Source organism: Homo sapiens, chromosome 7 (assembly GCF_000001405.40).
Source record: "Homo sapiens chromosome 7, GRCh38.p14 Primary Assembly".
Taxonomy (NCBI): domain Eukaryota; kingdom Metazoa; phylum Chordata; class Mammalia; order Primates; family Hominidae; genus Homo; species Homo sapiens.
The window spans coordinates 144,605,983-144,632,698 of NC_000007.14; the positions used below are offsets into that span (position 1 = coordinate 144,605,983).

Genomic DNA, 26,716 nt, shown 5'->3' on the forward strand with positions numbered 1-26,716 from the left:
CCCAAAGTGCTGAAGTTATTGGCATTAGCCCCTGTGCCCAGCCCCAAAACATTTCTTAAAAATATAGACAGTATTATCATTGTGGACAATCATAATTATAGATATAGGGACTACCACATGTAATATTTCTGGCTAAGGAATATACAGAATGAGGACAAATTTTATAATCTACTAAGTAATTTCAGGATGTTCTATTATATGTGAATTTTTCTTACAAAAGTCCTCAATACATAGTTTCTCCATCTGTAATTTCTGCATTCTCACAATGCGGTAATTCAAAATAAAATACTCCTTTTCATGTAAGGTCAGCGTGTCTTTTGCAGAGGAGCCCCACACCAACCAAATCTGGAATTCTCTGCATTAATAAGAAATTTTATCTGGCAAGTGAGTCATCAAGCTGAGATTCCTGGTAAGCAGATAAACTTAACCCTTGTCTTGGGGCCTATAAAAAGCATGCTTCTCCTCCGGCAGGGATGGATTAGGTTGCCACAGCCTCTAAGGTAGTAAGCTTTTTATATCCGTAGCAACATCTCCCAAGTCACTTCAAAGCACTGGGTTTATCTATTTTCTCTTGTTGCACAGCACTATAAAAAAGATTGCTGATCTCTAAGAAGCAGAAATAGAGATGTGAATTCCTCTTTTGAAGGCTTCTCCAAAATGATCTAGGAAATAGCCTGCTAACACAGGCTGATGCCCAGAAATCTGTTCCTTCTCTTTGCCTCTTTGTCTGATACTTAGCTTGCACTGCGTTTGTTCCAAAATCTGAACATATTAAGTAGCTACTTTGGCACTCAACAAACAGAACAATGTTGTTATATACTAAAAAGCAAGGATTGGTGTATGTAGACATATTTATGTGTAACTGAATGATTGAATATATATATAAATAAATATATGTGTCATGTTACTTTCTAGAATCTTATGAAAATTATCAATTTAAGCTTACCATATCCCTTTGAGGTACACTGGCACAGGCAAAAAGGTAGTGAAACTTGTCATAAAAGTATTACGATGCCTCGGTTACACAGCTGATGTTGGAATTGAACAGTATTCCTTTCACTGTTTCTTCTTCAAGAAAGACAGCAAGATTTATTATTATCAAGTTCACAATGGCAATGGCATATGAGACAAGCTTTATGTATTCTCATGTTTTAGCTCTTGACTTTTACAAATAACTTAGAACTTGGAGGAAGCAGTTCCAAAAAGTTATAAAATACCAATTAAGGAAATGAGAGGAAGATATATGGACTGTACAATTTTTACTTACACACAACATACATCCTATTGAAGATCCTCTGTTGTAGGTAAAAATACTGAAGGTATTTATAATCAAATAATCATACACAATCATATAATACTGGATATATAACCATTTACAACATAATTATATATATAATCATGTAATAGTAGATATAATAATGGATATTTCCATGTACTGCCAAAATAAAAAATTTCTCAAGGGGTAAGTTCTGTGGCAATAGAATAAGCCCTGTTAAGTTAAAGCAGATACTTAATGTTTGCTAACATTTGATAAGAGTTTGTTACAACAAGATTCTTCTGTATTTGTTTAACTACTGATTCATTTAATAAATATTTATGAAGTGCCCGCTATGTGCCAGGTATTGCTTTAAATGCTGAGGACACAGCAGAGTACAAACATGCAGAATTCCCTGTCCATGTGAAGTTTATAATATATTGAATGAATATGTAATAGAAACAAACATCCTAAATATGTAGTATGTCAGATGGTGACAAGAAAATGGAGCAGGGGAAGATATAAGGATGGCTTAACCAAGGGATTCAAGAGGTAGAGCTGAGGGGTGCTGCCTTAAATATGATGTTCACAGAAGGCTTCAACATGAGCTGCAATTTCATTAGAAAAAAACTATATTATTCCATTTTCTCAAAAAGGAATTATATATAAATAACTGCAGAGTAATCTATCCAAAAGAAGTTGAATCTATTCTGAAGAGGCAAGTTACAGTATTTATTACAGTAGTCTAAATCATTCTATGGTCACCTGTAAATCTGTCTCCTCTATTAGACCGAAGGCTGTTTGAGATTATGGACTTAGTCACGAAATCACAGCATACTGACTTAAACAGAACAGATATTAAGTAAAAGTTTGTTAAGGTGACTGGAAGAAGATACCTAATAGCCTCTATAGTATATCTAAGAGGAGGAAGTTTGCCTGTGGAACTCTAATATGAACTTTTGCCTAATTTTAGGGTAATATAACCTTTCATGAGCATAAGGCCTATAATGTCCATACTAGGATTAGCAAGGGTAGAGCAGATCCTTCCTTTTTTCTCCACACAAAGGCAAGGTACAAAAATAGTTACCTGGGTTGTACATCTCACTCTCTGTTGGATTCCACTATTAAATATAGAGATACATTTAATATATATAGGTTCTCTGGGAATAGGGGAAGTTCCAGAACTCACCTGGGAAATACATTAACATGTAATAAGTTCTCAGTTTAATTCAAGTTTCTGATATTGAGAGTTCTTGTAAAATTAGAGTATGTCCAAAAAAAAAAAAAAAAACCCACAATACTCTATTGAGAGTCCCATGAACCTGGGTAAAAAACTGTAACTAATTTAAGAGATTTCTAAGACATACTCTAATTCTTAAGTGATATTATTCCACAAAATCTATTACATTTAGTTGCACAAGAGTGTATTACAATTATTACCACCACTATCGCTAATTTTTAAAATAAGGACTTCCTATGGGACGGGCACTGAAATACGTGCTTTACCATGTAATGCTCTGTTATAGGTGGGTTAGTATTTTTACTTTACAGATGAGAAAATCCAGGCTTAAAGAACTTAAATACTGGCCGGGCGCGGTGGCTCACACCTGTAATCCCAGCACTTTGGGAGGCCAAGGTGGGTGGATCACCTGAGGTCAGGAGTTCAAGACCAGGCTGGCCAACAAGGTGAAACCTCATCTCTACTAAAACTACAAACACTAGCTGGGCATGGTGGTGTGCGCCTCTAATACCAGCTACTCGGGAGGCTGAGGCAGGAGGATTGCTTGAACCCAGGAGGTGGAGGTTGCAGTGAGCTGAGATCACAGCACTGCACTCTAGTCTGGGTGACAGAGTTCTCAAAAAAAAAAAAAAAAAAAAAAGAAAGAAAGAAAGAAAAAGAAAAAAAAAAACAGCAACAACAAAAAAAAACTTAAATATCTTTCTACTGTCATGCAGCTAAAAAGAGTGCCAGGCCTATCCTGAGCACCTGAATACCTGACTTCTAATTACAGTGCTTTGAAGATTAACATTTTATTAAAGTTTAAGGTGGTATTATTACTTTCAATAATAAGCATATTCATTGTCACAATTGGTAGAGACAAGCAAGATTCTAAAGCACCTGGACACATGTCACAGGAGAATTAACATGGCATCAAGAATGCTAGCAACAAGAGTCCTGAAGAAAGTTCTATACGCCAGCTAAGTTTTAGCATAATGTCCTTTGGAATAGAGAAAACTGATGTTATTAGAAATGCATTTATTCATTAAATAAATATTTCTTGAATACATAACAATGAGAGACAATAAAAAATTTAAAGCAGATATAGATTTAAGATATATTATATGAATTTTGGTAAGATAATGTACTGAAGGGGGCGAGCAGAGGCTAATATAGTAACCCAAGTGAGAAATGATAAATGTTTGAACTCATATAGTGGCAGCAAGACTGCCATAGGACAGAGATCTGAAGAATTTCAGGGAACTGTGACCAACTGTCAAGGGATGGTAGAGTAAGGCATAAACTTACTCTTAGGTTTCCGCCAGGCAGTTGGATGGTAGTGCCATTGAATGAGAAAGGAAATATAAAAAGAGAAAACGAGATTCTTGTGAGACTAATAATGAATTTTGTTTTAGACAATAAAATGAAGTTCCTCTGGTCGTCCAGTTAGCAAGGAGAAAAACAGCTTTGGAGTTTAGGATTAAAGGTACGAATTAGGTACAAATTTGGAGTTTAGGATTAAAGGTACAAATTAATGAATGGCACAGAAGTGGTAAGTGAAGGTCACAGAAACAAGATAAAGAGGAGAAAAGCAGGTATGTCAGAATGTCAGCACAGGCAATGCCCAAGAGAAAATGAGAGGCTGAAGGAGACCAGGACAGAGACTGACAGGCAAGAAGAAGAGGCAGGAATACATAGGTTAGTACTTCTAGAGTTAATCCTGATAAAAACATATCTAGTGGCAGTTCTACCTTTGATAGAGTCTTACCATATTTTGAAATTTATCCCTTGGGAAAGTGGGAAAGTTGAGAGCATCTGGGCTGTCTCCATAGTTTAAAGACCATCAAATGTCTACCTAAGATTTTCTACCAGGCATAATTTTCATGTAAAACAGTTGTCTAAATATGCATCAGAAACTCACAATTTAAAATTTCCTGAGGAAATATTTTAAAGGTGGGAGAGTCCACAAAAGGCATTGTTTTTTTTTTGTTTTTTGTTTTTTGTTTTTTTGCCTAAGTACTAAGAAGCACTTGCCTTTATTCTATATTACTGTGAGCCATTCACTAAAAGATTACACCTGTTCTAGGGTAATAGCATATTTGAAACAGTGAATATATTTTCTCAATGAAATGTTGTGTTTTGGAATAATTTTAGATTTACTAAAAAGTTCCAAAAATAGTACAAGGAGTATACTCTTCATCCAGTTTTCAGCAGTGTTAACATCTTGTCTAAACACAGTACATAGGATACAACTAAGACTGACATTGGTCACTACTATTAACTAAACTTTCAAGCTTATTCAGATTTCAACAGCTTTCCCTAATGTCCTATTTTTCCACTACACAACAGAAATCAGGTTACCATACTGCAGTTAGTTGTCATGTCTTCTTCATCTCCTCTGGCCATAACAATTTCTCAGTCTTTCTCTGTTGGCCTTAAAAATGTTGGTCAGGCATTTGATGGAATATTCTTCAACTTGGAGTTCTTTGACTACTTTAAAGGTTAAAGTGGAATTGTGGATTTTAGAGAAGAACTCCACAAGTGCCCTTCTCAACTTATATCCATGTAGGAGGGCATTACTAGTATGATATAACGATGTTATTAATGTTTTTCACTTGATTAATGTGGTATCTGCCAGGATTCTCCACTATAAAGATTTTTTCCTTTTCAGAATACATTTTTACACATACACACACATATATTTTCCTTTAGATCATGCCAAAGATACCAGTTCATGAAAGCAGGCTGTACTGAGACACCAGAGTACCTGGAAAGATATCTCTTGGGGTACTATCATGGTTTTTCCTGCAACCCAATGAGTCACATCTTTTTATGCTGCTGAGTAATTAGTCCAATCAGACAGTTAGCCTTAAATTGTATTTTCAATGGAGGAGAATGTTCATATTTAGTATGAAAATAAAACAAATCCACCAGTCCATTGCAGAAAAGTAATGTACACCTAAATCCAATACTGATAATTAGAAGATAAAACAAAATATTCTAAGCTCATAGAATTTGCTGCTGTATAAAGATAATGTATCTATCTGAGAAATGCCATGTAGACATTAAATAGAAAGACTGTTCTTAACAGAGTCCTAATGGTCAAGAGTTAATAACTTCAATTTGGACATACTCAAATTATACAGAAATGTCTTAAAATATGTAAATCACAATTCAGTACTTGCCCAGCCTATTAAGAAAATAAAAAAGAATAATATGTAATAAACCTATGGCCTTCAGTATTATTTAATTCAGTCATTTATGTGTGTGTGTAGCTGTATGTATATATATATATACACACACACATATATATATAATATAAGCATTTGCCCTCATTCATATAACCTACTCACCATCCTTCATTATTTGATTTAAAAACTGCTTAAGAAATTACATGGCATAATATAAGCTGGCTAAAATGTACTGAGGTTTTAGCAAATAAAACTAGTATTGGTTTAAATCTCTAAAGCATTCAGATTGAAATTAATGGAAACTTTTCTGCTCAGATTTTGTCTAATATATAGTCTATGTTTAAAATTGAAGTAACTGATTCTGTTGCCATATAATACTAGTAAATATCCTAAAGAGACCTATCCTGTTATTCTTAGGGCCTCATAATCTTAATTTATTTCTGCTTTATTGTAAAGAACATGCATCTTATATGTTTAGATGTTTAGAGAGACAGCTTTTAATGTTTTCCACCAAATCCCAGGGTTTAGATCTCAAGTGTGTATCACAGCATCCGAAAATATATGTGTCCTTTGAAGACTCAGACATATCAGATGGCATCCTGATAATGTAGTATTCATGACTCAGTTACAGATAAACAATGTGGCAACATGAAAGCAAAGCCTTAAAAAGTCCCAGGTATGAGAGAATCCTTTTGTGGAAGAGTAAATGTTAAGGGTGATTGGGTTTCAATTAGATGGATACATGAACTAAAAAGGTAATTTAGGGGAATTTAAAAAAAGTAATCTCATGTTCTAGATAGTAAACTCCTTTAGGATCAGGACAGACCTAATTCAAATTCTATGAATTTCTAACATATAGTTCTTTAATATATTAAATACTATTTTGCATTTTATTTACATTACAATTAACATTTTATAGTAAGAGGCCTATTATAAAATATACTTTGATTATAAATTCATATTTATAATTTAATAAGTAGAAATAAAAAATATATAATAATTTGATATGATTTATTAGATGGAGAAGAGGCATATAAAGATTTGATACAGTTTATGTGTATTATCAGGAGAAATTTTAAAAAGGCTTCATGATCTCATATGGAGACAGGAGTATGGGTGGAGGGAAATCTTGTATTATTTTCCCTTCTAATGTTGCTTTTCTCTTGCTATAACATCAAATAAAATACAGTGTTGACCTTCCAAGTTAAATGTAAAGTCAGGTGGAAGCTCACAGATACTCCACTTCCTCAGATTTAATATAATCACTCTGCCCACTTTTTAATGGGGTTGTTTTTCTCATGTAAATCTGTTTAAATTCCTTATAGATGCTGAATATTAGACCTTTATCAGATGCACAGATTGCAAAAATTTTCTCCCATTCTGTAGGTTGTCTGTTTACTGTTTATAGTTTCTATTGCTGTGCAGAAGCTCTTTAGTTTAATTACATACCATTTGTCAATTTTTGCTTTTGTTCCAATTGCTTTTGGTGTCTTCATCATGAAATCTTTGCCCGTGCCTATTTCCTGAATGGCATTGCCTAGGTTTTCTTCTAGAGTTTTGAGAGTTTTGGGTGTTACATTTAAGTCTTTCATCTATCTCGAGTTGACTTTTGTATATGGTGTAAGGAAGTGGTCCAGTTTCTGTTTTCTGTATATGACTAGCCAGTTCTCCCAGCACCATTTACTAAACAGGGAATCTTTCCCCCATTGCTTGTTTTTGTCAGGTTTGTCAAAAATCAGATGGTTATAGGTGTGTGGTCTTATTTCTGGGTTCTCTGTTCTGCTCCATTGGTCTATCTGTCTTTTCTTGTACTGCAGCCCTGTGGTATAGTTTGAAGTCGGGTAGCGTGATACCTCCAAGCTCTGTTGTTTTTGCTTAGGATTGCCTTGGTTATTTGGGCTGTTTTTTTGGTTCCATATTAATTTTAAATTAGTTTTTTTCTACTTCTGTGAAGAATGTGTTGGTAGTTTTATTATTCAATTATTCAATGGGAACAGCATTGAATCTATTAATTACTTTGGGCAGTATAGCCATTTTCATGATATTGATTCTTCCTGTCCATGAGCATGGAATGTTTTTCCATTTGTTTGGGTCATCTCTGATTTCTTAGAGCCGTGGTTTGTAGTTCTCCTTGAAGAAGTCCTTCACTTTCCTCATTAGCTGTATTCCTAGGTATTTTATTCTTTTTGTGGCAATTATGAGTGGGGAGTTCATTCATGGTTTGCTCTCAGCTTGCCTGTTGTTGGTGTATAGGAATGCTACTGATTTTTGCACATTGATTTTGTATCCTGAGACTTTGCCGAAGCTGCTTATCAGCTTAAGAAGCTTTTAGGCTGAGACAATGGGGTTTTCTAGATATAGGATCAGGTCATCTGCAAACAAAGATAGTTGGACTTCCTCTCTTCCTAGTTGAATAGCCTTTATTTCTTTCTCTTGCCCGACAGGCCTGCCTACAACTTCCAATACTATGTTGAATAGGAGCGCTGAGAGAGGGCATCCTTGTCTTGTTATAAAATAACTCTTATCTTTCGGGGAGGTACCAAGATGGCCGAATAGGAACAGCTCCAGTCTACAGCTCCCAGCCTGAGCGATGCAGAAGACGGGTGATTTCTGCATTTCCAACGGAGGTACTGGGTTCATCTCACTGGGGCTTGTTGGACAGTGGGTGCAGGACAATGGGTGCAGTCCACGGACTATGAGCCAAAGCAGGGCGATGCATCACCTCACCCGGGAAGTGCAAGAGGTCGGGGAATTACATTTCCTAGCCAAGGGAAGCCGTGATAGACGGCACCTGGAAAATCAGTCACTCCCACCCTAATACTGCGCTTTTCCAATGGTCTTAGCAAACGGCACACCAGGAGATTACATACCATGCCTGGCTCAGAGGGTCCTATGCCCACAGCAGTCTGAGATTGAACTGGAAGGTGGCAGCGAGGCTGGGTGGGGGTCCGGGGAGGGCACCCGCCATTGCTGAGGCTTGAGTAGGTAAACAAAGCGGCCCGGAAGCTCCAACTGGGTGGAGCCCACCACAGCTCAAGGAGGCCTGCCTGCCTGTGTAAACTCCACCTCTGGGGGCAGGGCATAGCTGAACAAAAGGCAGCAGAAACTTCTCCAGACTTAAACATTCCTGTCTGACAGCTTTGAAGAGAGTAGTGGTTCTCCCAGGATGGAGTTTGAGATCTGAGAACAGACAGACTGCCTCCTCAAGTGGGTTCCTGACCCCCCAGTCGCCTAACTAGGAGGCACCTCCCGGTAGGGGTCGACTGACACCTCATATGGCTCAGTGCCCCTGAGACGAAGCTTCCAGAAGAATGATCAGGCAGCAACATTTGCCGTTCTGTAATATTTGTGGCTCTGCAGCCTTTGCTGGTGGTACCTAGGCAAACAGGGTCTGGAGTGGGCCTCCAGCAAACTCCAACAGACCTGCAGCTGAGGGTACGGACTGTTAGAAGGAAAACTAACAAACAGAAAGGACAGCCACATCAAAACCCCATCTGTACGTCACCATCATCAAAGACCAAAGGTAGATAAAACCACAAAGATGGAGAGGAACCAGAACAGAAAAGCTGAAAATTCTAAAAATCAGAGCGCCTCTTCTCCTCCAAAGGAATGCAGCTCCTCGCCAGCAACAGAACAAAGCTGGATGGAGAATGACTTTGACGAGTTAAGAGAAGAAGGCTTTAGAAGATCGGTAATAATAAACTTCTCTGAGCTAAAGGAGGATGTTCGAACCCATCGCAAAGAAGCTAAAAACCTTGAAAAAAGATGGGACGAATGGCTAACTAGAATAAACAGCGTAGAGAAGACCTTAAATGACCTGATGGAGCTGAAAACCATGGCACGAGAACTACACGATGCATGCACAAGCTTCAGAGAAAGCAAGAAAGATCTAAAATTGACACCCTAACATCACAATTAAAAGATCTAGAGAAGCAAGAGTAAACACATTCAAAAGCTAGCAGAAGGCAAGAAATAACTAAGATCAGAGCAGAACTGAAGGAAATAGAGACACAAAAAAACCCTTCAAAAAATCATGAATGCAGGAGCTGGTTTTTTGAAAAGATCGACAAAATTGATAGACCGCTAGCAAGACTAATAAAGAAGAAAAGACAGAAGAATCAAATAGACGCAATAAAAAATGATAAAGGGGATATCACCACCGATCCCACAGAGATACAAACTGCCATCAGAGAATACTATAAACACCTCTACGCAAATAAACTAGAAAATCTAGAAGAAATGGATAAATTCCTGGACACATAGACACTCCCAAGACTAAACTAGGAAGAAGTTGAATCCCTGAATAGACCAATAACAGGCTCTGAAATTGAGGCAATAATTAAGAGCCTACCAACCAAAAAAAGTCCAGGACCAGATGTATTCACAGCCAATTTCTACCAGAGGTACAAAGAGGAGCTAGTACCGTTCCTTCTGAAACTATTCCAATCAACAGAAAAAGAGGGAATCCTCCCTAACTCATTTTATGAGGCCAGCATCATCCTGATACCAAAGCCTGGCAGAGACACAACAAAAAAAAAGATAATTTTAGACCAATCTCCCTGATGAACATCGATGCAAAAATCCTCAATAAAACATTGGCAAACTGAATCCAGCAGCACATCAAAAAGCTTATCCACCATGATCAAGTTGGCTTCATCCCTGGGATGCAAGGCTGCTTCAACATATGCAAATCAATAAACATAAGCCATCATATAAACAGAACCAAAGACAAAAACCACATGATTATCTCAATAGATGCAGAAAAGGCCTTTGACAAAATTCAACAGCGCTTCATGCTAAAAACTCTCAATAAATTAGGTATTGATGGGACATATCTCAAAATAATAAGAGCTATTTATGACAAACCCACAGCCAATATCATACTGAATGGGCAAACACTGGAAGCATTCCCTTTGAAAACTGGCCCAAGACATGGATGCCTTCTCTCACCACTCCTATTCAACATAGTGATGGAAGTTCTGGCCAGGGCAATTAGGCAGGAGAAAGAAATAAAAGGTATTCAATTAGGAAAAGAGGAAGTCAAATTGTCCCTGTTTGCAGATGACATGATTGTATATTTAGAAAACCCCATCATCTCAGCCCAAAATCTCCTTAAGCTGATAAGCAACCTCAGCAAAGTCTCAGGATACAAAATCAATGTGCAAAAATCACAAGCATTCCTATACACCAATAACAGACAAACAGAGAGCCAAATCATGTGTGAACTCCCATTCATAATTGCTTCAAAGAAAATAAAATACCTAGGAATCCAACTTACAAGGGATGTGAAGGACCTCTTCAAGGAGAACTACAAACCACTGCTCAATGAAATAAAAGAGGACAAAAAGAAATGGAACAACATTCCATGCTCATGGATAGGAAGAATCAATATCGTGAAAATGGCCATACTGTCCAAGGTAATTTGTAGATTCAATGCCATCCCCATCAAGCTACCAATGACTTTCTTCACAGAATTGGAAAAAACTACTTTAAAGTTCATATGGAACCAAAAAAGAGCCTGCATTGCCAAGACAATCCTAAGCCAAAAGAACAAAGCTGGAGGCATCATGCTATCTGACTTCAAACTACACTACAAGGCTACAATAATCAAAACAGCATGGTACTGGTACCAAAACGGAGATATAGACCAATGGAACAGAACAGAGCCCTCAGAAATAATACCACACATCTACAACCATCTGATCTTTGATAAACCTGACAAAAACAAGCAATAGGTAAAGGATTCCCTATTTAATAAATGCTGCTAGGAAAACTGGCTAGCCATATGTAGAAAGCTGAAACTGGATCCCTTACTTACATCTTATACAAAAATTAATTCGAGATGGATTAAAGACTTAAATGTCAGACCTAAAACCATAAAAACCCTAGAAGAAAACCTAGGCATTGCCATTCAGGACATAGGCATGGGCAAGGACTTCATGTCTAAAACACCAAAAGCAATGGCAACAAAAGCCAAAATTGACAAATGGGATCTAATTAAACTAAAGAGCTTCTGCACAGCAAAAGAAACTACCATCAGAGCAAACAGGCAACCTACGGAATGGCAGAAAATTTTTGCAATCTACCCATCTGACAAAGGGCTAATATCCAGAATCTACAAAGAACTTAAACAAATTTACAAGAAAAAAATCAAACAACCCATCAACAAGTGGGCAAAGGATATGAACAGACACTTCTCATAAGAAGACATTTATGCAGCTAACAGACAGATGAAAAAATGCTCATCATCACTGGCCATCAGAGAAATGCAAATCAAGACCACAATGAGAGACCATCTCACACCAGTTAGAATGGCAATCATTAAAAAGTGAGGAAACAACAGGTACTGGAGAGGATGTGGAGAAATAGGAACACTTTTACACTGCTGGTGGGACTGTAAACTAGTTCAACCAGTGTGGAAGACAGTGTGGCGATTCCTCAAGAATCTAGAACTAGAAATACCATTTGACCCAGTCATCCCATTACTGAGTATAAAGGATTATAAATCATGCTGCTATCAAGACACATGCACACGTATGTTTATTGCGGCACTATTCACAATAGCAAAGACTTGGAACCAACCCAAATGTCCATCAGTGATAGACTAGATTAAGAAAATGTAGCACATATACACCATGGAATACTATGCAGCCATAGAAAAGGATGAGTTCATGTCCTTTGTAGGGACATGGATAAAGCTGGAAACCATCATTCTGAGCAAACTATCCCAAGGACAGAAAACCAAACACCGCATGTTCTTACTCATAGGTGGGAATTGAACAATGAGAACACTTGGACACAGGGTGGGGAACACCACACACCGGGGCCTGTCGTGGGGTGGGGGTAGTGGGGAGGGATAGCATTAGGAGATATACCTAATGTAAATGACGAGTTAATGGGTGCAGTGCACCAACATGGCACAACTATACATATGTAACAAACCTGCACATTGTGCACATGTACCCTAGAACTTAAAGTATAAAAAAAAAACAAAAATAAAAAATACAATAAAATAACTCTTATCTTTCAAGCCTCTGCAAGTAAGTTAGATGCTTCTTCACAATGTACTATTCTTTGTCCAATGTAGTATATAAAGCAACAGGCTTTAAGTACTTCTCTGGGTCTTCACTTCTTTATGTGGGCTCCCATGCCATGTAAAATTTGTATGAAATAAAATTTTATGCTTTGTTCTTGTTAATCTATCTCAGGTCAATTTAATTCTCAAGGCCCAGTCAGGACCCTACGAGGATGGAGATAGGAGTTGTGCCCACTCCTACAAAGTGCTATACACACTCTGTGTGCACTACAGTACTTCCTGAAACACTCTTCTCCCCTTTGCTGTCTGATATAGTCTGGATGTTTGTCCCCTCCAAATCTCATGTTGAAATGTGATCCCCAATTTCTGCAGTGGAGCCTGGTGGGAGGTGTTTGGGACATGGGGGTGGATCCCTCATGAATAGCTTAGTGCCACCTTTGTGCTAATGAGTAAGTTCTCACTCTATTAGTTCACAAGAGAACTGGTTCTTTTTTTTTTTTTTTTTTCTGAGGTGGAGTCTTGCTCTGTTGCCCAGGCTGGAGGGCAGTGGTGCGATCTCAGCTCACTGCAACCTCCGCTATAGGATATCGGTCAGGGTGGTGGGAGATTATAAAGTTATAGGAAACAGACACAAACCTTCTTGGAAGGCCAGTGGGTTTGCATAGCTTCAGTGAAGGATTTGGCTGAAGGCAACTGAATTCTCTTAAAAGCTTAGGGCAAAGATACATAGGAATGTAAAGGAGTTTATCTAAATAGCTTTTTTACTCATGTGGTCCTAAGACCAACCTTTGATCATCTGTGGGCTCATGACTGCTCTCTACTCAGGAGATCAACAATGTAAATTACCCTCTAGTGGTGTTTACTTGAGAACTTTGTCATTTAATTTGTACTAAATAAACGCAAACTTTGCCATTTTATGGAGGCGAAAGCTGCAGACTCAGGCGTCAGAGCCCCTTAGTCCCACTGACAGGCAAAATACCTGTGTCAGTGTATGTCTTTCATCTGTTGCTGGGTCAGGGTCTGCGGGTTGGACCCGGCACTCTGCCTCCTGGGTTCAAGTGATTCTCCCTCCTCAGCCTCCCAAGTAGCTGGGACTACAGGTGTGTGCCATCACCCCAGCTAATTTTTTTATTTTTAGTAGAGATGGGGTTTCACCATGTTAGCCAGGATGGTCTCGATCTCCTGACCTCGTGATCTGCCCACCACAACCTCCCAAAGTGCTGGGATTATAGGTGTGAGCCACCATGCTGGGCCAAGAGAACTGGTTCTTACGAAGAGCCTGTCATCTTTCTCGCTCCCTTCTTGCCATGTGACAGGCCTGCTGCCCCTTCACCTTTTGCCATGAGTAAAAGCTTCCTGAGGGGTCATGAGAAGCCAAATAGATTCTGATGCCATGCTCGTACAGCCAGCATAGGCATACACCAAATACAACTCTTACCTTTATAAATTACCCAGCCTCAGGTATTCCTTTATAGCAATGCAAAATGGACTAATGCACTGTCTACCTCCTATTTGCTTACTATGTCTCAGCCTTCTCTAAAAAGCCTTCTCCTAACTGTGTTATGTTCCACTCTCCTGTGTGTTCTTGTGGTGCATAAAACGTACCAAACTTTCAAGGAATACTTCTTTTATGCAAAATACTGCTGTCAAGTTATGAACAAGCAAACCTGAGCTCAGCTTCATGGGCTGTACAGTCAAGCTGGCAAGAATGACTTTAGGCAAACAATTAGAAACAATTAGTAAAATGATCAAAATTGTTCAGAATACCCTAAAGAAAAAATAAAGGAGGGTATGGAAATGTAGAGTAACTAAACCTAACCTAGAGTGATAGTTAAGGACAGCCAGTCAAACTCTGCCATGCCCACTATTCTAAGTGAAGTAACTCAGAAATGGAAAACCAAATACTGCATTTTCTCACTTATAAGTGGGAGCTAACCTAAGAGTGTGCAAAGGCATAGTGATACAATGGACACAGAAGACTCAGAAGAGGAGAGGGTGGGAGGGGGTTGAGGGATGAAAAACTACCTATTGGGTACAATGTACACTACACTGGGGTAACAGGTGCACTCAACTCTCGGACTTCAATAATGTACAATTCATCCATGTAACCAAAAACCACATGTACCCCAAAACCCATTGAAATAAAAAATATATAAAAATAAATAAATGTATCAGACCTGAAAAAAAAAAAAAAAGAAAAAGAAGCCCTCTAGCATGCATGGTCTAGACAAAGAAAAGGAAAAATAAGATTCCAAGCAGAGGGGGCAACATATATAAAAACACATTAAAGTAGGAGGGAGGAGAAAATGCGGCATAGTTTAAGAACAAGGAGAAACACTGGTGTAGGATGGGGCTGGAGAATGCATTGGGTCCAAAGCATGTTGGGGCCTGAGGCAGCACAGGCAGTGTACCACTGCATTGCTCTTCAAAAAAGAACTCACTGTTAGGCTGTGTGGAGGCCAGTCATCCGTCATCAGCCCCCGCTGCAACCCCTTCAGGAGGCAGCACATCACAGCCACCAAGTCTGTACTCTTCCTTGGCAACCTCTAAGCCAAGTCCACCCTCCTCATGAGCACCCTCTAGTCTGTGACTAAGCACAGTTGGAGTACAAGGTTGTTGCTATTTCTGCCCAGTGCAGGGGCCCTCTAACAGCTACTCTTGCTTCCAGAGTCCCCACCAGATTGGCCAAGACTGTCAGATTTGTTTGCAGATCATACCCTCCTCTCTCAGTTTGGGGCTCTCTCTAGATCTGGGCCTTGTTGAGTTTAAGATATGATGATTTGTTTCAAGCCTCAACGACAGAATACTGTATTACTGATACTATCGATTAGACACAACTCATTAGACTCACATAATTGCGTCTTAGCTTTTAATCATGTCAGTGGAGGTGATGGGAAAAACAAAAGACAGCTGTGAATATTTACACTGTTTTTCCAAAGAAACACCAAATCACTGATATCTGGATGAAATAAGTAACTCTCAATTTGCTGTTTCCTGCTTTCATTAAACAAATACTTAATTATATCAATTTACTGCTGGAAATATCACAATACATTTGATATAGATCAGCAAAGCTACATCAGAGATGAGAAATGTTCACTCAATTATTTTTGTTTGAGTTCGCAGATTGAGCTACTTGCCAATTGTGATAGTTAGCAAGGTTTTATTTCAAAGGGAGAAAAGAATTTACTACTAACTGCAACTTAGTAAATATATGCTACAGTGTATCTTTAACAAACTTTTGCTAGAGAGTAAATTTTTGTTAGAGCTGCCACTCTGATATCTATCCCATCCTGCCAAATATGTTTTAGCCACGTAGTTTGAATATATAAGCCACGTGGATTGATCCCACACCTGGCTCCAGCCCAAGACAATCAGGATTCTCTCGTTCTCCTTTGCCAAAAGCAAGAGTGGTTTAATGGAGAGATCTTAAGGGTTAAGTCCAATGATGGTGGGAAGTGATGTATCTCACCAGCTCTATGTCTTAATCCCCCTACATGTGAAGGGTAAAATGTTACTGCAGGTGGCAGTTGGAGACAATCAAGGAAGCTAGTGTGAAGACAAAACCTACAAAGTGAAGCCAAGATAAATAAAAGAAAAAGGGCATGAGTTCTGATTAAGCTCTGTCTCAAGACTGCCCTACATCACTTGGTTATTGAGAGCAGGTTGACATGTGTTTTCTGTTACTTGTACTATCAAAATCGTTCTAATATACAAGGGTGTTTTCCTACTTTTCTTGGTTTAAAATTACACAACTGATCATTCATCTCAGCTTAAAACTTATTGCCCCTGCTAGTGGGGGAAAAAAAGGTCAATTGTCATTCATTGCTTCAGGTTTAATTTTGTAGCTGTTCATTAAACACAGTCTTAAGAAACTTTGCATACCATTTCAACAGGTATCAAACAATAAAGTATAAACTGGTGTACTAATTAATGCAATTAAACATTTGGATGCTAGGTGAAAATCAGTACTGAATACCTTAAAGAGCACAGAATGCAAAGCAGTAGACTCTTCTCTGGCTTAAAAAAAGCTGATATTCGTTTAAATAAAAATTTGCAATGATAGCCCAGGGGCCAAATCAAGGCCATATTTGTTTTGCCTATATAATATGTAAATAGACACAGTCCAAAAATACATATAGCTCTTCATGGCAACAATCAACTAGAGACGAATAGTAGCTAGTCGCTTTCAGGCAAGAATGAGTTCCCAGTTTTGATTACTTGACACACGGTCCAGTTCACCCATTTTATTACCATGCCACTGTAAGATGTTTACATTTGTGTTCCCTGGTTTAAGTGCACATGTTAATGTTTTGGCAGCTAAGTGCAGACTTATCTGCTCTACAGGGGAAAAAAAACCTGACAGCAATTTAAAAAAAAAGAAAAAGCACAAAAGTAAATATCCATTTCAGCTGAGTGAAAAAATAAACACAAATTGTTTTCACATCCTTGGAATAACCACCAAATACATGTATATATTACCTTTAAGTCTTTTTCTTCTATCTTCTTTTGGAGCATTTTAAGGCACTTAGTAAAGTCAGTGTGGTCTTGATCAGGAGTTGAAATGAGCTCACATCCCTATGTATTAAAGTAAAAGAAAAGGTAAGAATAAGTAGTAAATTCACCTTTATGAACAAGATCAAGAGTTACAAAAGTAAAGATAAGGTATCAATAGACATATCCTATTATGCCTTTACTATTCCTGTATCATTAGAATCATTATCATTATCTTTTTTATTTCACATCATGGGACATTTCAGGAATGGTATTAGAGTGTTACAATAATGGACTGATTATGACAATCGTTTTATTTAAGAAAGTATAGATTATACTACATTAATGGGTCTTTAAAAAATACTTATGTGATGACATTCACGATTAACATAAGGACTTTGATACATGTATAATAAATTATATTCTCAACTACCTGAAATTGAAATGAAACTATTTTGATGAAACTTTGAAGTTCTTTAAGCAGAAATGACAAGTTTACATGAATGAAAAAACTAATCTGAATATTGAAGTAATAATAAAAGTTTACATTTTAAGTAAAACCAAGACAGCTGTCCTATAATATTATTTGATAAAAGCCTCTTTCTCCCTTGTGAGACACAGAACAAGGAGCTATGCCTGTGTAAATATGTCTCCTGGATTATCTTTTGGACATCATGAAATGAATTTATAAGTTCTTTGCCTTCTCTACAAGATAACTTACCCAGTGAAAAACACTGCAATATATTTATAAGTATGAAGCCACAAAAGTGCCAGTTTGTTGGCACTAGTGAACTTGGATGGCTAAAGAGACCGTATTTTTGAAATGACACCTTTTCCTCCAATGTCATACAGAGGCAAAGGTACATAAAAGTGAGCACGATGGGACTTCAGACTTCTTAATTCAGGAATAAAACAATTCTTGGACTCTGACAAACAGCTGAGTAAGGGAAAGTTAAATATAATCTAGTATATAAAGTTGCCATTCAAAGAGTTTTCAAGGATACAAAACACCCATACTGCCTCTTAAATTATTCTAAGAACCATTCTCGGTAGATTTAAAGGTTCTTCTTTTACTTCAAGGTCTCTTTAATTGTGTCAAGCTCAACCTGTGCTTCATTCATTTATGACTGTCCTACAATATAGTGACCAATGAAAAAATTAACTTCTCATCATTCAGAAATACATTATGCTCTAAAAGATGTATATGTCATCTTTACAAGATCATCGACATATACTTTCTCGACCCTAAAAGAACATTGACATTTACTATAATCACCAAGCAAGGACATAAAGAAGTGACCCTTCTCAGGTTAACACTCCTAAAAAGGAAGATAGAAGCATATGGCAGGGCATACAGGAATATTAGCATGGTTGAACAGAACAGACTGCCACCAAACCAAAAATCATTACACTGAAAGTTCCTCAAGGGCAGGTTCATTCATTATTGTTTCCAGTGCCAGGCACCAGTTTGTTGCATAGTAAATGTTCAATAAATGTTTAAATAATATTCTTGAGGAAGAAAATGGATTTTTACAAATACACTTATAAAAATGTACACTGGCTAGGGGGTACAATCGTGCAGTATCTTATTGCTAAATATACCATAAATGACAACGAAAGTTGTCTTCCTCTTTTAAATGTTAAAAATAGACATACTCACCAAAAAGGAAATAAAATTTAAATGGCAAATAGAAACTACAACATAATGGACGATTAATAGATCACTATCTACCTTCACAGAATCCATATAGAAAGCCATTGGGAAAAAGACAGTTAAACAAAACCCAGGAAGTAATCTATCTAGTACTATCGCAACATTTTGTAGATTAAGAAAATAAAAACAAGAGATAAAAATTGACTGGCTGACAACTGGACAGCTAGGTAGTAATTAGCAGAAAAGCCATGAGTAGAAATCCTATTTCTTTACTCTCACAAAGTAAAACAAAAGTTCTGAGATAGCTGATTGAAAAATGTCAGATGACATCTCTAGAGTTAGTTTCACAAAAAGGATACTATAAAAAGAAAAGCTACTTGAAACATATGAGCAAGGCCGGAATATCTTACTTTACCTCATCATTTACAATAAACACATAGAAATGCTTGGCTCAGGACACGGAGAGAGATTATTAGCACTGAGAAAATCAGACTGAATCTAAACCAAGAACGTCTATTAAACTCGTTGAAGGTGTTTAACTGCCAAACAGCAGCCATTCACAAGGTGAAATGGTTCTAATCTCATTACAGACTGAGAATGAACTCACTAGAAGTGGAAATAGCTCTAATAACAGGGCAGCGTCCGACAGTTAGAAAGGAGACCCGAGAAACAAAATCTTAACCAAAGTGCAATAACAGGCCTGTGGCCAACTAAGGATGTGTTCACTGTTTTCTGGGTCTTAGGGTAACATACTAAGATCTAAGAGAGGAGAAACAGAAAGGTAAAGATGAGAAACTACTAAGACCCTGCAAACAAGGAATAATGTAGAAATACTATAAGGTATCAAGCAATACTCACCTACTATATATTAATATTTATGATTATTTTTATATAGAATAAAGCCCAATTTCCTAGCATCAGAAGCACTGAGGTGCTGTGAAAAATTCCACTGATATGATATTTTCTTAAAAAAAAAGACAACCCTCATATTCACTAAGGACTGAGAAGATATTAAAGCCATGAAATTTAGCAAAGTAAGAAAGTATATGACTTTCTAATAAGTTGTTTGTAATGTTAGTTTCCTAATAGAAAGGTACAAAACATAGACTTATGATGCCAGTGAGTGGGAATTTTTGTTTCAACTACTTCTATCTTTGATTTTTTTTCTCAGTTACATAAAATATATTGTTTTTAGGATACAATGTATGATGTTATGAACCAACAAGTGGCTCCATTTTTCAGATTATACTTTTGCTTTTTTGGTTTTTTCTTTTTGAGACAGGGTCTCCCTCTGTCCTACAGGATGGAGTGCAATGGCACAATCACAGCTCGCTGCAGCCTTCACCTTCTGGACTCAAGCAATCCTCCCATCTCAGCCTCCCAAGTAGCTGGGACTACAGGCGTGCACCACCATGCTCAGCTAATTTGTGATGGGGTTTTGCCATGTTACCCAGGCTGGTCTCAAATCCCTGGGCTCAAGCAATCCTACAGCCTTGGCCCCCCACAGTGCTGGGATTATAGATGTGAGCCACCACACCTGGCTAATTAGTCTTAAAATATAATTTTTCACATATACATGGAAAGAGTATCAAAGACTCAGAGGGACAGAAAGATAAGAAAAGTTATCTATTGAGTCAATGATATTTTTCGTGGAACTCAAACAAACGATTATGATTTACATGAAAGAATAAGGGACCAAAAAAAAGCAAACGCAATTTTGCAAAAGGACACGGTAGTTGAACTTGCCTTTCGGGATATTCAGATATACAAAGTAATTAACACAACAGGGTACTGGCAAAATGAAACAGTAGAATATCAGCACCACGGAAGCACAGGTATTTGCTTGTGTGATTCACAGCTGTCTTCTAGGAACTAGAACAGTGACTGGCACAAAGAAAGTGTTCTTTGTGCCATATGGTTGGTAAATAGATACCTGAACAGAATTGGGAAGACAGAAATATATACAGATGCATATTTGAAAACGTACTAGCAAAGTCTCCAAACATTTACAAAAAACAACAGAAAAGAAAATGATTGCAGTAGGTAGTATTTTAAACAAGGTGCGAAAATAAATATAAATCTGAAGAGAAAGAACTGATAAATTCAGCTACTTTTAACTAAGACCCTTCTTTCATCAATAAACAATATGCATAAAGTAAAAAAAGAAAGCTTCAAAATGAAAGAAGGTATTTTCCACGAATATAACTAAAAACAAAAGGTTACTATCCAGAATACATAAAGAATTTGTAAAAATCTATAAAGAATGAATAACTGGATGGAAAAACAGGCAAAATATTTTAATAGGCAAGTTAAAGAACAGCAAACCTGAAAAAGCCAATTGTATTAATCTATTTTCATGCTGCTGATAAAGCCATACCCAAGACTGGGCAATTTACAAAAGAAATAGGTTTAATGGGAGTTACAGTTCCACGTGGCTGGGGAGGCTTCATAATCATGGCAGAAGGAAAGGAGGACCAAGCCACATCCTACGTGGATGGCAGCAGGCAAAGAGAGCTTGTTCAGGAAAACTCCCCTTTTTAAAACCATCAGATTTCATGAGACTTATTCACTACCACGAGAACAGCACAAGAAAGACCTGCCCCCCATGATTTAATTACCTCCCACCAGGTCCCTCCCACAACCCGTGAGAATTCCAAATGAGATTTTGGTGGGGACACAGTCAAACCATATCACCAATACACATGAAAAAGCAAATAGACCTGTAGGATTGCTTGAGCGCAGAAAATGGAGACAAGCCTCGGTAACACAGCAAAAGCCCATCACTACAAAAAAAATTAGCCAAACATGGTGGTGCACACTTTGGAAGGCTGAGGTGGGAGAATTGCTTGGGCCCAGGAGGTCGAGGCTGCAGTGAGCCATGAAAGCAAATACACAAAATATTTTAATAGGCAAGTTAAAGACTAGCAAAACAGAAAAAGCCAATACACATGAAAGGATGTTGATTTTCACCAGTAATCAGATAAGCCCAAATAAAAATCACTGATATACACTTGTCGTACCTTACATTAACAAAAAAACTTGTGGCGTATTTAAACACTGGGTTATTCTATGACAAAAATGAATGAACAACAACAAAAATAATAGAAGAATAAATGTATGATACATTCATGAGTTACAGAATCACACAGGCAGTATAACTGCATATATACACACAATGTAAAAACATGCTTATTACCTTTACATAGGATTTAGTGTTGCTTTTGTTAAAGTATTAACAAATGTAAGAGAATAAAAATTTTTAGATTTAACCATAAGAAAGGGCCACAGAAGTCTTGAACTGTATAGGTAGCATTTATTAAGTTGGGTTGTGGTTACAAAAGTATTTGGTTTATTATTTTTTATACTTGTACATATCTTAAACATTTCTGATATGGCTTGGCTGTGTCCTCATCTTGAATTGTAGTTCCCATAATCCCCAAGTATTGTGGGAGGGACCAGGTGGGAAGTTATTGAATCTTGGGAGCAGTTTCCTCCATTCTGTTGACTCATGATACTGAGTGAGTCTCATGAGATCTGATGGTTTTATAAGCATCTGACATTTCCCCTGCTTGCACTTACTCCATCTCGCCTCCCTATGAAGAAAGTTCCTGTTTATCCTTTGCCATCTGCTACGATTCTAAGTTTCCTGAGGCCTCCCCAGCAACACAAAACTGTGAATCAATTAAAGCTCTTTCTTTTATAAATTACCCAGACTTTGGTATTTCTTCATAGCAGTGTGAGAACAATAATACAGTAAGTACCAGGAGAAGGGTGCTGCTGTAAATATGCCTGAAAATGAAGAAGCAACTTTGGAACTGGGTAACAGACAGAGGTTGGAACCATTTGGAGGACGCAGAAGACAGGGAAGTGTGTGAAAGTTTAGAACTTCCTAGAGACTTGGAGGGTTAAGAAGACAGGAAGATGTGGGGAAGTTTAGAACTTCCTAAAGACTTGTTGAATGGCTTTGACCAAAATGCTGATAGTGATATGAACAATGTAGTCCAGGCTGAGGTGGTCTCAGATGGAGATGAGGAACTTCTTGGGAACTGGAGCAAAGGTGACTCTTGCTATGCTTTAGCAAAGAGACTGGCGGCATTTTGCCCCTGTCACAGAAATACGTGGAACTTTGAACTTGAGAGAGATGACTTAGGATATCTGGCAGAAGAAACTTCTAAGCATTAAAGCATTGAAGAGTAAGCAGAGCATAAAAATTTGGAAAATTCACAGCCTGATGATGCGATAGAAAAGAGAAACACATTTTCTGGAGGAGAAATTCAAGTCGCTGCAGAAATTTGCATAAGTAACAAAGAATGGAATGTTAATCCAAAGACAATGAGGAAAATATCTCCAGGGAATGTCAGAGACCTTCACAGCAGCCCCTCCCAACACAGGCCCAGTGGCCTAGGAGGAAAAAAATTGTTTCATGTGCTGCGCCCAGGGTTCCCCTGCTCTGTGCAGCCTCGGGATATCGTGCCTGTATCCTAGCTGCTTCAGTCCCAGCTGTGGCTAAAAGGGGACATGATAAAGCTCGGGCCATTGCCTCAGAGGGTCCAAGCCCCAAGCCTTGGCAGCTTACTAATGGTGTTGGGCGTGAAAGTGCACAGAAATCAAGAAGTGAGGTTTGGGAACCTCTAACCAAGATTTCAGAAGATGTACAGAAATGCCTGAATGTCCAGGCAGAAGTTTGCTACAGGGGCAGAGCCCTCATGGAGAACCTCTGCTAGGGCAGTGCAGAGGGGAAATGTGGAGTCAGAGCCCACACACAGAGTTCTGACTGGGGCACTGCCTAGTAGAGCTGTGAGAGGAGGGCCACCATTCTCTATACCCCAGAATGGTAGACCCAGCAACAGCTTGCACTTCCACCTGGAAAAGCTGCAAGCACTCAATGCCAGCCTGTGAAAGCAGCCAAGAGTGAGGCTAGTCTGTACCCTGCAAAGCCACAGGGGTGGAGCTGCCCAAGGCTGTGAGAACTGACCTCTTGCATCAGCATGACCTGGACATGAGACATGGGGTCAAAGTAGATCATTTTGGAACTTTAAGGTTTAATGACTGCCTTATTGGATTTTAGACTTGCATAGGGCCTGTAGCCCCATTGTTTTTTGGCCAATTTCTCCCATTTGGAATGTGTATATTTACTCACTAGTAAGTAACTAACTTGCTTTTGATTTTACATGTTCATAAGCAGAAGGGACTTGCCTTATCTCAGATTTGGACTTGGACTTTTGAGTTCATGTGGGAATGAGTTAAGACTTTGGGGGGACTCTTGGGAAGGAATGATTGTGTTTTGAAATGTGAGGACATGAGATATGGGAGGAGCCAGGGCCAGCATGATATGGTTTGGTTGTGTCACCACCTAAACCACATCTTGAATTGTAAACCCCATAATCCCCACAAGTCGTGGGAAGGTCCTGGTGGGAAGTAATTGAATCATGGTGGCAGTCTCCCCCATGCTGTTCTTGTGATAGTGAATAAATCTGATAAGATATGATGGTTTTATAAGCGTCTTGCATTTCCCCTGTTTGCTCTCACTCCATCATACCACCCTGTTTAGAAGGTGCTTGCTTCTTCTTGGCCTTCTGCCATGATTGTAAGTTTCCTGAGTCCTCCCCAGCAATGTGGAACTGTGAGTCAATTAAACCTCTTTCCTTTATACCCAGTCTCAGGTATTCCTTCATATCAGCATGAGAATGGACTAATATAATTTCATACTATTTTTAAAGTCATTTCGTGCTTATTACTAAGGAGTGGGGTCAGTGTTGATTTACTTTGATATCCCCAGTACCTAGAACAATGAATAATACACAGTAAGCATACATTAAACATTTGGTATATGATCAAATTGAGTCCTTTCTTTATCCCTCACACTAAGCTGGTACAAATTTACAGTGACAGGAAATTTCTAACTAGCCCATTGCATATCTCAATAATTCTATTAAAATTCCATAAAATTATTGTATCAAGTATATCTCCCTGTACTGTCTTGTAACTGGTCTTAGTAGTACCTTCTTAAGATTGTATAGAAAAGGTCATACATTTCATTTAAATTAGAAAACTGTGTTTCATTTTCTTATCTCCATTCCATTGATCCTGAGATATTTAGGATCCAGATTTATACCCAGTAACATATAAAATATCCCTCTCAGCTTCAGTAGACACTCACAGAGGTAATAAACATGTGTTGCCCAGCTGCATCCACATCTCAGCCCAACACTGACTAGGACAGGTGGGAACAGAGTCCTTAACCAAAACATTAGCAGTGGGTATCTGAATATCAGTACAAGACAAGGCATATTCTCGACCAAAACCAAACTAAATGAACATATATCAAAAAATAACAGTCTGCAAAAGCAAGATATTTTATTAAGAAAATGCCATAAAGCATTAAATATTATAAATGTTTTCAAATATTAGAGTGTGATTTTTACAAGAAAATAATTCTTCAAGATGATTTATGTCAAAATGACAAAGAACTTACAATGATTTTCCTGCAGTTTTTAAACAATTCAAATACCATTGGTTCTAGTTTCATCAACAAAGCTGTTATTCTCAAAGCTGCTACATGTATATGAGAAATAATCATATACAGAGGCAGGGAAAGAAACACTATTTTCTTACATGGTATCCTGTAAGTAATGAAGATTCAGAAAATAGATAAATCATGCTGTGAAACCTATAGTATGAGATGGATTGGAACTCATGAGAAATAATAACTTACTTAGAAAAATGGCAATAATAATTATAAATATTTCCTGAAGGTTCTACACTAGATCATTCACATAAAATTTTATATATACACATATATGCAAATCTATATGCTATGAGATATAAAGGTATTAAATAAATGTAAAATATTATGACTTCAATGATGATAATCACTAAAGACAAATATTAGTTATCTAACATCTGTTAAATCAATGAGCTAATAAATGAAAAATATAAAAATTAAAGGCAAAAATAATTAGGAATGAAAGGTATAGGAAGAACACATTAATTGCTGATTAAATAGAATCATCTCTCAAAGAAGGAACAACGGCAAGAGGTGGCTGGGGCTTCTCCACTCCTAGTCTCTCTGACCACCACCACCACCACCACACAAGAAAAAGTACACTACGTGTATGTTGCTATGTACATACTGTATGTGCTTGCTGTGCAAATACTGTCAAAACAGCTTCCACCTCGAACTCTACTCCCCTCTCCTAGAAATTCAGAACCCTCAAACTGCCAGGAGCACACTCAAATATGCCATATATCCTCAACATAAACTGAAGATTTCACTTATATGTATCAACCACACACAAAGAGCTGTCATTTTCTACAATTCGATTGTTTACCAAATCTGCACGAACCAGAAAATTTCCAACTCTCCCTAATTTTATACTGCCCCAGCCTCTTATGATTCTTCAGTGAAATATGGAGAGGATACAATTCATATCAAAAAGTAGCTGTTGAACTTAAATAAGATGTAGATATAAAAGGTCTTCATAACTTCTTTCCTTCATCTAATCTTTGTTAAAATTTCACCTCTTAATGAGGCACACCCTGATTACCCTACTTAAAACTTTGACTTCACGCACTTCCCTCTGCCCAACCCTAGCAAGCTTGATCTTGACTGTCCCGACTGCCCTTACCCTACTCAGAATTTTCTGTTTTCTCCAAAGGAAATAACACTTTCTAACACATTACATATTATTTATTGTCTCTTTATACCAGGAGGCAGGGCTAATCCTCAGTTTTGTTTTCTGTTTTATCCTGAGTACCTCAAACAGCACATAGTAAGCACTCAGTAAATATTTACTCAATAAATGAATGAATATTTGCTATAATGCAGATGTCTCATGCCATATGTTTGAATAGCAGTACACGTTTT

The 26,716-nt window shown here is 37.8% G+C and overlaps 1 protein-coding gene across 45 annotated transcripts in view, besides 1 other annotated feature; it reads right to left on the reverse strand.

Annotated features, from left to right (window-relative positions):
* TPK1 (thiamin pyrophosphokinase 1) overlaps nt 1-26,716 on the reverse strand; it is a 384,497-nt gene that overhangs the window by 154,042 nt on the left and 203,739 nt on the right. For 42 of the 45 annotated variants that reach the window (NR_146934.1, NR_146935.1, XR_001744630.2 and 39 more), the window contains one exon: nt 17,184-17,279. Coding sequence is in view for 41 of the 45 variants with exons in the window: in XM_005249970.2 (XP_005250027.1) it covers nt 17,184-17,279 (96 nt within the window). In the remaining 4 variants the exon portion in view is untranslated. Of the gene's footprint in view, nt 1-946; nt 1,069-17,183; nt 17,280-26,716 lie in introns of those variants that run through there. The other 3 variants (NR_146936.2, NM_001350895.1, XM_011516046.2) reach the window with 2 other exon arrangements.
* Nucleotides 13,238-13,767: an enhancer, noted in NCBI's record as "NANOG hESC enhancer chr7:144316313-144316842 (GRCh37/hg19 assembly coordinates)". NCBI's record gives its function as "activates a minimal SCP1, AML or CMV promoter by ChIP-STARR-seq in naive H9 embryonic stem cells {active_cell/tissue: H9 hESC(naive)}" and the evidence as "EXISTENCE:reporter gene assay evidence [ECO:0000049][PMID:30033119]".